Source organism: Homo sapiens, chromosome 1 (genome assembly GCF_000001405.40).
Source record: "Homo sapiens chromosome 1, GRCh38.p14 Primary Assembly".
Taxonomy (NCBI): domain Eukaryota; kingdom Metazoa; phylum Chordata; class Mammalia; order Primates; family Hominidae; genus Homo; species Homo sapiens.
The window spans coordinates 246,741,093-246,753,789 of NC_000001.11; the positions used below are offsets into that span (position 1 = coordinate 246,741,093).

A 12,697-nucleotide genomic window follows, 5' to 3' on the forward strand; every position below is an offset into this window, starting at 1 on the left:
AGCAAAAAAACAAAAAAACAAAAACAAAAAACAAAACTGAAACAGGTAACTTCAGTACCATATAAAGTGTTCTAGACTTAAAAAATTGGAAAATGTTCCAGCATATATTAAAAAGTTAGCATAACTATGAAACCAAAGTCCAACAAAGATAGCACACACACACACAAACTACAAATCTTGCTTATGAAATTAAAAGTAAAAAGAAAATACTATATAAAATTTTAATCCAGTGCCATTTTAAAAAGTTTTTTAAGAGACAGGATCTTGCTCTGCCGTAGCTCACCGTAACGAATGCCTGGGCTCAGGCAGTGCTCCCTCCACAACCTCCTAAGTAGCTAGGACTGCAGGCTTATGCCACCATACTCAACTAATTTTATAAAATTTTTGTAGAGATGAGTTCTCACTATGTTGCCCAGTTTGGTCTTGAACTCCTGGCCTCAGGTGATCCTCCCACCTTGGCCTCGCAGAGTGCTGGGATTACAGACGTGAGCCACCATGCGCAGCTCATCCAGTGGCATTTTAGAAGAACAATATATTGAGACCAAGGTTTAGCATTAGGAAGTTATGCAATTATATCAGAGGTGAACAGCTATATGCCCATCTCAAAAAATGATTTGAAAATTGAGAATTCACACCATTTACTGATTTTACATTTTTAGGAATAGAATAGTTTCCTACATAATAAATGTCAGGGCTGGGCACGGTGGCTCACGCCTGTAATCCCAGCACTTTGGGAGGCCAAGGCAGGTGGATCACCTGAGGTCAGGAGTTTGAGACCAGCCTGGCCAACATGGTGAAACCTTGTCTCTACTAAAAATACAAAAAAATTAGCTGGTCGTGGTGATGTGCAACTGTAATCCCAGCTACTCGGGAGGCTGAGGCAGGAGAATCGCTTGAACCCCGGAGGCGGAGGTTGCAGTGAGCTGAGATCGCGCTGTTGCACTCCAGCCTGGGCGATGGAGACTCCGTCTCAAATGAATGAATGAATGAATGAACGAATGAATGAATGTCAGAAGGCAGTAGCTGTATCATACTTAATGAATGGTGAAACACTAGAACCATTCCAATTAAAAAGTGAAATGTGAATTGAACATCTACAAAATATTCAGTGTTCCAATCCTTAGACCTAATATGTCTCCATTTCTTAAAATAATGCTTTAACGTCTGTGAAGTTTAGAAGTTTTCTTCATGATAATCCTGTTTCTTGAGGTTGTTCTCTGCTTTTATTTTGAATAAGCCTTTTTTTCCTTCATAAGGGAGAAATATTAGTTTAAGGTTTGTTTAAAATTTTTTTCAGATCCTGACACCTAGAAGTCAGCATTTTAGCAAGCACCCCAGCTGATTGTTGATGCAGGTGGTCCACTTTTATTGGATTACCGCTTTAGGTGTTCTGTGTTCTTCTGCGGATCGGGTTAGATCACAGAGCCGCACACCCAGGCCACATTCTTTTAGTAACCATCAGAATCGCTCTAGTGAGTTATACGTTAATGATCTGCTTTTTATTTTTGTCTGTGGTCAGACTAACGACATTTATCTGGCTGTAGTTCTCTTCTGCTGCAACAGCTTTGTTGATGACGTGGTTATTTATTATTTTGCTTGGTGTCAACTTTGTAAGGCCCCATGTTTTAATTTTCTCTTAGAATTAAAACCAGGAACATTGTCTCTTAAGGAATGAATATATTTCATTTATCAGATTTTGAGAATTAGCCAGCCCATTATATTTTTCTTTTGCCTCAATGTTCTTGAGAAACTCAATAATTAAATACTTAACCACTATGCCTGTATATTAGTCTTCATGGGTAATATACTTGATGTCCCCTTTTTCCTGGCTTGGTTTCCAATTTTTATTTTATACTTCTTTTTATTTCATTTTAGTAGTCTTGTTTTGAGTGTTTTATATGCTATCACAGAGGGTGTTTTGATAGTTTTTGTGTACATTCATTGTAAGCCACTGTTAATAAGCCTTTTGAAAGCTGTCATATTTTAAAGCAGAATAATTCCCATGGATCTAACTTCTTCCTTCTTTTGACAAGGTGTTTTTCTGTCACCTAGGCTGGAGTGCAGTGGCGTGATCATGGCTCACTGCAGCCTTGAACTCCTGGGCTCAAGCAGTCCTCTTACCCCAGCTTCCCTAGTAGGGTGGTAGTAGTAGTCCCTAGGACTACAGATACATGCCACTGCAGCTGGCTAATTTTTTTAAAAAAATTGGGGGCCGGGCATGGTGGCTCACGCCTGAAATCCCAGCACTTTCAGAAGCCGAGGTGGGCAGATCACAAGGTCAGGAAATCTAGACCATCCTGGCCAATATGGTGAAACCCCATCTCTACTAAAAATACAAAAATTAGCCGGGCATGGTGGTACGCGCCTGTAATCCCAGCTACTTGGGAGGCTGAGGCATGAGAATCGCTTGATCCCAGGAGGTGGAGGTTGCAGTGAGCCGAGATCACGCCACTGCACTGCACTTCAGCCTGGGAGACAGACTCTGTCTCAAAAAAAAAAAAGAAAGTGACCCTCCTACCTTGACCTCCCAAAATGCTGGGATTATAGGCATGAGCCACCATGCCCAGCCTCATAGATCTATTTGGTAATTGTGTCCTAAAGAGCCTCCCAGAATTCGGGTGAGCTCAATTGTTGCTTTATTGGGGGAGATTCTTACTGTCATCAGTTTTTAAATACTAGAAAAGATTTTGTCACAGTGAAATGTGAATTGAATATCTTCAAAATATTCAGTGTTCCAATCCTTAGACCTAATAGAGATAGAGTTTATGCTAGACTACTCTTTCTGATGGTTTACCTGGCCATAGCTACTTCGTAAGTCTGTGTACAAAAACATAATAAAACTGTTGTCTGTACAAATTTTCTGTGTCAGCTGTAGGCTTAGAAAAGCTAGTCCCTAAGTGAATACGCATTGTTTATTATTACTTACCCCAAATAATTTAGATGTTATTTTATTTTGCTTTTTACCATTCTCCTACTCTTTTAGGTACTTTGACTGCTGTGGAAAGTTTCCTGACTATACATTCAGGACCTGAGGTTGGTTTTTTGGTTTGTCTTGTGTTGTTTCAAGTTAATATTAAAAATATTTTGGAAATGATACATGTGTCTTTTAGGTATGTATAATTTTTAATGTGTGAAAGTCACCATGTTTAATTTTTAAAAAGATACATTGCCAAGATTACTTTGACTTGAAATATACTTTATTTTCTTTTTATTTTATTTTATTTTATTTATTTATTTATTTTTGAGATGGAGTTACGCTCTTGTCGCCCAGGCTGGAGTGCAATGGCATGATCTCGGCTCACTGCAACCTCTGCCTCGTGGGTTCAAGCGATTCTCCTGCCTCAGCCTCCCAAGTAGCTGGGATTACAGGCATGTACCACCACGCCCGGCTATTTTTTTTGTATTTTTAGTAGAGACGGGGTTTCTCCATGTTGGTCAGGCTGGTCTCGAACTCCTGACCTCAGGTGATCCGCCCACCTCAGCCTCCCAAAGTGCTGGGATTACAGGTGTAAGCCACCATGCCTGGCTATTTTATTTTTTTGAGACAGAGTCTCACTCTGTTGCCCAGACTGGAGTGCAGTGGTGTGATCTTGGCTCACTCAATCTCTGCCTCCCGGATTTAAGTGGTTCTCCTGCCTTAGCCGCCTGAGTACCTGGGATTACAGGCATGTGCCGCCACACCTGGCTAATTTTTGTTTTTTTTTTTCTTTTTCAGTAGAGTTGGTATTTTGCCATGTTGGCCAGGCTGGTCTCGAATTCCTGGCCTCAAGTGATCTGCCCACCTTGGCCTCCCAAAGTGCTGGGATTATAGGCGTGAGCCACTGCACCCGGCCCCTAAAATATAATTTCTTTTAAAAACAACTGCACAGTTCATTGTATTAGAATGAATTATCATGATCTCAACACTAAAGCATTTATCACTGGTGCACAGTAAATGTTGTTGGCCAGGAAAATTTTCACCTTAGTGCAAGTCAGCATAGTTTTATCATGCGCCTAACTTAGGTACTGCTGTGACCAAACAGAGGTGTATGAGGTGAATCTAGTCTTACTGAATCTACAGTGCATTTGGGAACGTAAGACATTGACGTTGGGAACGTAAGACATTGACGTTGGGAACGTAAGACAGTTGCATTTCTGGGAAAGGACCATGTTTTATGACAATACTTTTATGCTGATAGTGCCTAACCCAGTTCTAGGTCTGCACTGTGGCTTCAGAAGTATTTGTTCTAAATTATATTCATTCAACAAATATTGTATAGTGGTGCAAATGCATATAGTAACTGTGCAAGAGAAAATGACATGTAAATGAATAAGATGCAAACCCTACCTTTAAAGTGTAATAATTTAGTTTGGCAGGAAAGAAAAAAATGTTTGTTATTAAAGAGATCAGATGAAATACTGTAGGATTCTAAGAATGGCGAATACATCTAACTAAGAGTCCAGAGATCATGAACTTTCTGGAGAAGCTGGGATATAGCTGAATTTCAAGGGCTGGTGCTGTGGAGATGTGAAGGAAGAGGAAATAGTGTATCAAAGACAAAGATGGGGTGGGATGGAACGTGTTTAATAAGAGGAAGTACTTTCTTCATCTCGATTGTGGGTTCAGATTAACGTAAAGAGGTATGTAAAATATGCTAAAATTTGTGGTTACACAGACTCTTTAGTAGAGTATAAGTGTAGTAGGACAAGCCACAGACAAAACCCCTCAGACACCGAGTTAAAGAAGGAAGGGCTGGCCGGGCATGGTGGCTCACGCCTGTAATCCCAGCACTTTGGGAGGCCGAGGCGGGCAGATCACGAGGTCAGGAGATCGAGACCATCCTGGCTAACACGGTGAAACCCCGTCTCTACTAAAAATACAAAAAATTAGCTGGGCGTGGTGGCAGGCACCTGTAGTCCCAGCTACTCAGGAGGCTGAGGCAGGAGAGTGGCGTGAACCCGGGAGGCAGAGTTTGCAGTGAGCCAAGATCGCACCGCTGCACTCCAGCCTGGGCGACAGAGCGAGACTCCATCTCAAAAAAAAAAAAAAAAAAAAAAAAAGAAGGAAGGGCTTTATTTGGCTGGAGCTTCAGCAAGACTCACATCTCCAACAACTGAGCTCCCCGAGTGAGCAATTGCTGTCCCTTTTAAGGGCTTACAACTCTAAGGGGGTCCACGTGAGAGGATCGTGATTGATTGAGCAAGCAGGGGGTACATAACTGGGGGCTGCATGCACCGGCAATCAGAACGGAACAGAACAGGACAGGGATTTTCACAGTGCTTTTCCATACAATGTCTGGAATCTATAGATAACACAACCGGTCAGGTCAAGGGTCAATCTGTAACCAGGCCCAGGACGCGGCGCCGGGCTGTCTGCCTGTGGATTTCATTTCTGCCTTTTAGTTTTTACTTCTTTCTTTGGAGGCAGAAACTGGGCATAAGACAATATTAGGGGTGGTCTCCTCCCTTATAAGAATAAAAAGAAGTGGCTAGGCGCAGTGGCTCACGCCTGTAATCCCAGCACTTTGGGAGGCTGAGGCAGATGGATCACTTGAGGTCAGGAGTTTGAGACCAGCCTGGCCAATATGGTGAAACTCCGTCTCTACTAAAAATACAAAAATTAGCCAGGCATGGTGGCACATTCCTGTAATCCCAGCTACTCGGGTCATGGAGACAGGAGAATTGCTTGAACTTGGGAGGCAGAGGTTGCAGTGAGCCGAGATCGTGCCACTGCACCCCTGCCTGGGTAACAGAGCAAGAGACTGTGTCAAAAATAAAAATAAGTGATAGTGGGCCTGAGTAATTTGGGAATGCGCCATAGAGGCCTTATTGAAATTGGCTTTGAAAAGTGAATAGCATTTGGAAGGTCAAAGGCAGCAACTGGAACAAAGGCTCAGAAACAAGAATGAGAAAAGCATGCTTGGGACCCTTGGTAGCATGTGTTAGAAACCCAGCTTAAACCAACAAAACAAAAAAGAATCTATTGATTCATGTAACCAAATGCCTGAGAGTAAATCATATGGCTGGATCTAGATGTTCAAATGATACTGTCCGAACTCTTTTTTTCCCCTCTTGTTTCTCCCTTTTTGTCTCTTTCTTTTCTTCTGCTTTTCTTTATGTAGGCTCCGGACAGAGCAGGGAAGGTACTGGCATCCCCAAGTATACTTTGTAATAAAGGTTCATGATTTCTTGGGAAGAGCTACCCAGTTTATATGTCAAACAATAGAGAAGATTAGTCATTTTGCTCATTCTTAAGCCAGTTGATGTGACCTGGGGTAATAGAGTGTGAACCCAGAAAATCTGAGACAGGTTTCAGTTAATTAAGAAAGTTAGGCTGGGCACGGTGGCTCATGCCTATAATCCCAGCACTTTGAGGGGCCAAAGCATGTGGGTCACCTGAGGTCAGGAGTTTGAGACCAGCCTGGCTGTTAGAAATAAATTTTCAGTGCCGCAAAAGAAATAGCGCTGAAACATAAAATTTCTCAGCAAGGCAACTTTACTTCTATAGAAGGGTGCATCTCGTGGATGGAGCAATGGTGAGAGCACACCTGAACAAGGGAGGGGAAGGTGTTCTTATCCCTGACACAGGTAGCCCCTACTGCTGTGTCATTCCCCTTTTGGCTAGGGTTGGACTGCAGTCTAAGCTAATTCCGATTGGCTATTTTAAAGAGAGCAGGGGTACGAGGAAGGACAGTTACAGAACAAGTGGCTCAGGATGACTAAGAACAGAGCAGGTGACCAAGGGTGACTAAGATCAGAGCAGGTGATAGAGGCTAGGAGGGGGTTGTTTACTGAAACTAGGGTCAAGGAGACGTAAAGAACGAGGATGTTAAACTTTAAAGAACAAAGAACAGGGGAGCGGAACATAACTGACACATTGGTTCTTTGGAGAGGATCTCAGGACTCATTGTACGTAACAATTTACAGGCTGAAACCTTCGAAGAGGAATTTATTCTATCCTACAATTTCCCCCCTTTCAATTTTCTTGTTATTTCCTCTTCAAACTTTTTTTAACATGTCTTGGCTTTGCTGCTCGACTTTATCCTCTAAAAGAAAAAGCTGATCTGAATAGGGTGGAGGAGAGCTAAGGGAGGTTTTAGTTAGTGCTGCATCTGTAAGTCTTTGACTAGCCCACGGATGCACGGTATGACACAACACCCACCAAGAATGAGTACACCTGTTACAGCTGCAAGAGAAGTAAGAATTGAGGCTGAGTTCTTTCCATTTACCAAACCACCTTTCTAGCCACCCGGAGAAAGGGTTATCGGCTCCAGAATTTTAGCTAGTTCATGGGACAAAGCGGTAAGTCTTTGTAAGGCGCTCGTTGTGCTCCCAGTGGGGGTAGTGTTGTTTGGGATTAAGGTACAACACTGAGTTTCAATCATAACACAAACACCGCCTTTTTTGGCTAATATATCTAGGACCATTCTGTTTTCCCAAGCCATCTGGCTAGTGGGCCCCAATTGTTCTGCTATCCCTTTGACAGTATCCCTGGTGTAATTACTAAACCACTGCTGATTATAATAGATGTAATGTATCCAGTCTTTGTTTTTATTAATTGTCACCTGTAAAAATATTGACTTAAATCCTGCAGCTATTTGATCTCGAGATTTAAATTCATCTGGTTCTCCTCATGGAACTCCAGTAGCGTTTATATAAACATGGGGGTCAAAGGACCCATGTGGGGCACTTCTTTTATGATTTTCTTTTTTATCATGTTGACAGAATGCTAGGGTGGAAGGGATGGCCAACTGGACTAGAGCACAAGTGCTGCTCTAATTACTTGCAGAATACCCAGCAATAGTCCCCCGCAATACCACCACGCACCTGCTCGAGGATGAACAAGGGCAGACTGGTGGGTAAGCTCTGGAAAAGGCTTGGTTTCACTGCACCCTGTTAAGTCTCCAAGGAATGCTAACTTTTCCGTCTGCCGTGAAAGGCACGAGGTGAAGTTAATATCAGGCTGGAGGCCACATGGCCCTCGGGGGCTGACCCACAAGGCTCTTGACCTCAGGGAACAGCAGTGAAAGAGTCTTGCATGACTCATCGCCTCGGCTGTAGGGTTCTGGAAGAGAGCTACCACACAGCTCATGCCCAGTCATGAGAGAACCACCCAGGTGGAAAGGGGACAGTTTGGGTATCTGGCCTGCCTGTTGCACAAGCATAACCGTCGCTTTTGTTTAGCGTGCAAACAGAATATTTTATCCATTCCAGCCAAGCATTTGCATCCAGATACCCTGTTTCAATTGCTGTAGTTTGTTTTAAATCTTTAACCTCTACAGTAGCTACATAGGTTTTATCATTGGGTATATAATGAGAGAAAGTTTGGTTAGTGGAGAACTTAGACGAGGGAGAAGGGGGTGCAGGATGTGAGGAGGCAATGAAGTACATTTCAAAGGATCCTATGGGGTCCTTCCCTGAGACTTCTCCTACACCACAGAAATGGCCTAATGAAGGGGAAGAACTCTGGGGAGCAGCAGTCGTCATCTGTGCTGGATTACATTGGTTCAGCTGACCATGGGGAGGGGAAACTCCTTTAGTAAAATGAATGTATGGTTTTAAGAAGCTGCAAGTACTAGTTGGGGCCGTCCGTCCTTGCTCTTTGGTGTTTTATAGAGCATCGGACAAATTTCGGCAGAGAAGCTCTGCTCTAGGAGGACAAGATTCCCAGTTCATACTGGACTCTTTGTCAAAGTCCTCCCAAACTAACTTATCTCAGTTAACAGATTTCCAGTCTGAGGAGAGCTAGGAAGGATAAAGATACTTTTCTAAAGTGTAGATTTGCCTCTGGTTTGACAAATCTTCACAGGGCATCAGAAGGCAAGCGTCAAAAGTAATGGTTTGGGGTGAACTTGACCTAGTTACACTAGTAAAGAGAGGACTAGCAATAGAAGGGGAAAAGAAAGAGATGCAGTATAGGAGGTTCAAACCCATTTTCGCTTTAGCTTGGTTGGAGTTGGCCCTGGAATAGCTGTCCATGATTCTGGAGGGGGTGGTGCTCTTTGGACCCAGGTGTAATGAGTCCATCCTCTTTCTGCTGTTCGAACCGCGGTCTTGGTGCTTAGAAGCACTAGGTAGGGTCCTTCGAAAGCGGGTTCGAGTTTTCCTTCCCTTTAGCTTTTGACAAGGACACGGTCCTCATGCTAATGTTGGTGTACTGGAAACTCTAGCGGGGGGGTACCTGTGCTGAAAGACCTATAGTTCTGAGGGACGAGAAAGTGGAAGATAAACCAAACATACAATTTCTGAGGAACTGATCTTTTGTTTTGACTGTGGGAATGTCAGCAGTGGAGTGCAAACAGGGCAACCTATACAACACTTCGTAAGGGGATAAGCGAACATCTTTCCGAGGGGCAGTTCAGATTCTAGGCAGGGCAATGGGATGGCAGCTAGTCCATGGCACCCGAGTCTCTAGACTAATTTGGTTAGGTGGCTTTTTTAGAGTTTGGTTCATTCTTTCCACTCTTCCTGATGAAGGTGGGTGCCAGGGAGTATGATATTCCCATGTTATATCCAGTACCTGGGCTAATTTCTTAATGACATGTACAGTGAAATGAGTCCTATTATCTGAGTCAATGCTTTCTATTAATCTAAACCTGGGTATAATATTTTCAACTAATGCCTTGACTACATTACTAGCAGTTGTACTTGAAAAGGGAATAGTTTGTACCCAACGAGTAAGGTGATCTATTATTACTAATAAATACTTTAGACGACCAATTGGAGGCATCTCTGTGTAATGAATCTGGATACTTTGGAATGGCCTTAAGCCTGGACTCCTTCCCCCAAGGGGTAATCTTTTTATAGTTTGTTTATTGGTTTTCTTACATACTGAGCAACTGTCTGTAACCCGTTTGGCCGGGGTATAAATTCCTGTGCACCCATAAACTCTGAGGACTGCGTCACACATGGCGTGGGGCCCCCAGTGGGTCCCTTGACGCAGCTGGAACAACATTTCGCTCATAAGGGGTTTGGATAACATTTCTCTCTGGTCTGGCAGTATCCATTTTCCTTCAGAATTCTCTTTAGCAACTGTTTTTATTAATTTTTTAGACCAAAGAAACCCAAATGCCATTTTATATTTGACAATTAGCAGATCAGCTAAATGTCACCTTTCTATTAGTGTGCTATTAATGTTAAACTCAATTTTAATAAAACCTTTTAGACATATTTATCCAATTTTAATGTCTGACCATAAGTTTTTTATAGACTCTTTTTAACCCTTTATAATTTTTGTTAAAGAACAGGTTAGTACTTTAAGAAAAACCTGTTGTGCTTTTATTTTAATGTCCAGTTTACAGAAACTTTAACCAATATGTTTACACACAGAATTTCCTTTACAATTAACTTTTCAAACCTTGCTTAAACCTTCAAAACAATTTTTAACCTTTTAATGTAGGTAAAAATCCACATTCTTATGCCTCCTTATAATCCTTTTACCAAAAGTATATTTTACTTTCCTTACACACCTTGCACATAAACTGTTTCTTCAATAGTTTTACATTCAGGAGGCCTAATTACTTTTCAATTATATGACATTTCTTGCATAAATTCCCTTTTATAACATTTTTCACGACTTTCACAGACGACCTTTGACATGCCTTAACTTTCTGACTTGTCGTAAATATCCCTTTCTTTAAACAACCAGTTAATTTACTTTAGGACAAGAATTTACCATATAAGATTCTTTTTACATAAATTCTCCTTTTTTTTTTTTTTTGAGATGGAGTCTCGCTCTGTCGCCCAGGCTGGAGTGCAGTGGCGCAGTCTCAGCTCACTGCAAGCTCGCCTCCCGGGTTCATGCCATTCTCCTGCCTCAGCCTCCTGAGTAGCTGGGGCTACAGGCTCCCGCCACCACGCCCGGCTAATTTTTTTTTTTTTGTATTTTTTTAGTAGAGACGGGCTTTCACCGTGTTAGCCAGGATGGTCTCATCTCCTGACCTCATGCTTCACCCGCCTCGGCCTCCCAAAGTGCTGGGATTACAGGCCTGAGCCACCGCGCCCGGCTAATTCTCCTTTTTTTTTAATGTCAAAGATGATAACCATTCTTTTCCAAAGCACACTGCCTTCATGTCTGTGGACTAGACTGCCTGAGGCCACAAGATTAGAAGTTAGGATCATACATGTTAGACTTAACTTTTAGCAAACTTTACTTTTGTTGAAAACCTTGTAAGTTTGGGATTTTAATTATGTGCTAGGTGTAGAGCCTAGGACCTAGACAGAAGTGCAGATGAGGTCTGGCTTCTCCTAGCATTTAACTCCATGTGTCCTAGGTTTTCCCTAGCTGCAAAGCAGGCCAGTTGTACAGCTAAGAAACGGTAGTCTGTTTGGCTATCTGATTAATAGCTCTAAGTTCTTGCACTAACCAGTATGACCCATCTGGCTTCTTTACAGGCAGAATTTGAGTGTTATAGGGAGACATACAGGGTTTAAGCAGCCCGTCACAGAGAAGACCTTCAATTATCAATTGTAGGTTTTAAATTTACCCTCACTTTTAAAGGAATAGGGTATTGCTTTCTCTTTTCTACTTCCCCAGGGGTTTTTAATTTTTTTAATTTAACACGAATCGGAGGAATCTGTAACTTTCCTCGATTCCTGTCTTTTGACCATACCTTGGGATGAATGTGTTCTTTGTCTGCGGTGGGGAGCAAGTTTAGGGAGGGGAGGAATTTTCCCTAATCAATATAGAGGCGTAAGCCAAATTTTAGTACTAAATCTCTCTCTGATAAGTTTGTTCCTGCCTCTGGAATTAACAGAAATTTAATATGAACTGATTTGCTTTTATATATGACTTTTGTTCTTTTTCCCATTTGGGACATTGTCTTTTGAAGTGACCTATTTTTAATTCGAAACATTTGTTTTGTCCTCTTTCTCTCCCTTTGCCTCTTCGTCTGTGTCTCTGTCTCTCTCTCTCTCCGCCTCTCTGTCTCTTTCTCTCTCTTTGCCTCTCTGTCTCTTTCTCTCTCTCTCTTTTTCTTTGACTCTCTCTCTCTCTCTTTCTCTCTCCTTGACTCCTTCTGTTCCCTGTCAGTCTTTCTCCTCTAGGATTTTTTTTCTCTACCTTTGAGTCTCCTGGCTTTACTCTTTCATCCTCTTTATGTTGCCTGGAGAGTGGGGGTCTAGGTTCTTTACAGGTTCTGGCCCCCTGGGTACTTTGTTGTATGGTAGACAGCAGAATTTTTGCTTTCTGCTTTTTTCTTCATCTCTTCTTACATACACTTTTTGGGCTTCTCTTAGAAGCTCTTCTATAGGTTTATCTTTCCAGTTCTCTATCTTTTGTAATTTCTTATTAATATCTGGCCAACTGTTAGTGACAAAATGCAGTTTTAACATTCCCTGCCCAAGAGGATCCTCGAGACCTAGACCAGCATATTTTCTCATTTGTTCCTTTAATCTAAAAAATTTTATAGGTGCTTCATCTTTCCCTTGCTGTACATAAAATGTTTGGGTAAGATTCTGGGATACTGATTCTTTAATCCCCTTTATTATCAATTCCCTAAGGTCCTGCATATTTTCTTGAGGGGCTGCATTGTTATTGTCCCACCTGAGGTTTTGGGCGGGAAATTTTTGATCCGCTGTAGGAACGTTTTGGCCAGAAGGGTGTTCACGTTCCAAGACTCCCATAGCAGTTCGACGGATCGTGGCTCTTTCTTCCCCCGAGAAGAGAGGAAAGGGAAGTTCTGAAAATCCTTTTTACATTGCTCTATCTCACGCTGAA

General features: G+C 42.2%; 1 protein-coding gene across 1 annotated transcript in view; it reads left to right on the plus strand.

The window, feature by feature from the left end:
- The window catches only part of SCCPDH (saccharopine dehydrogenase (putative)), a 43,729-nt gene that overhangs the window by 16,684 nt on the left and 14,348 nt on the right, over positions 1 to 12,697 (plus strand). Inside the window, exon 5 of the mRNA NM_016002.3 lies at positions 2,984 to 3,033. Within this exon, the coding sequence (NP_057086.2) occupies positions 2,984 to 3,033 (50 nt within the window). The remainder of the gene's footprint in view (positions 1 to 2,983; positions 3,034 to 12,697) is intronic.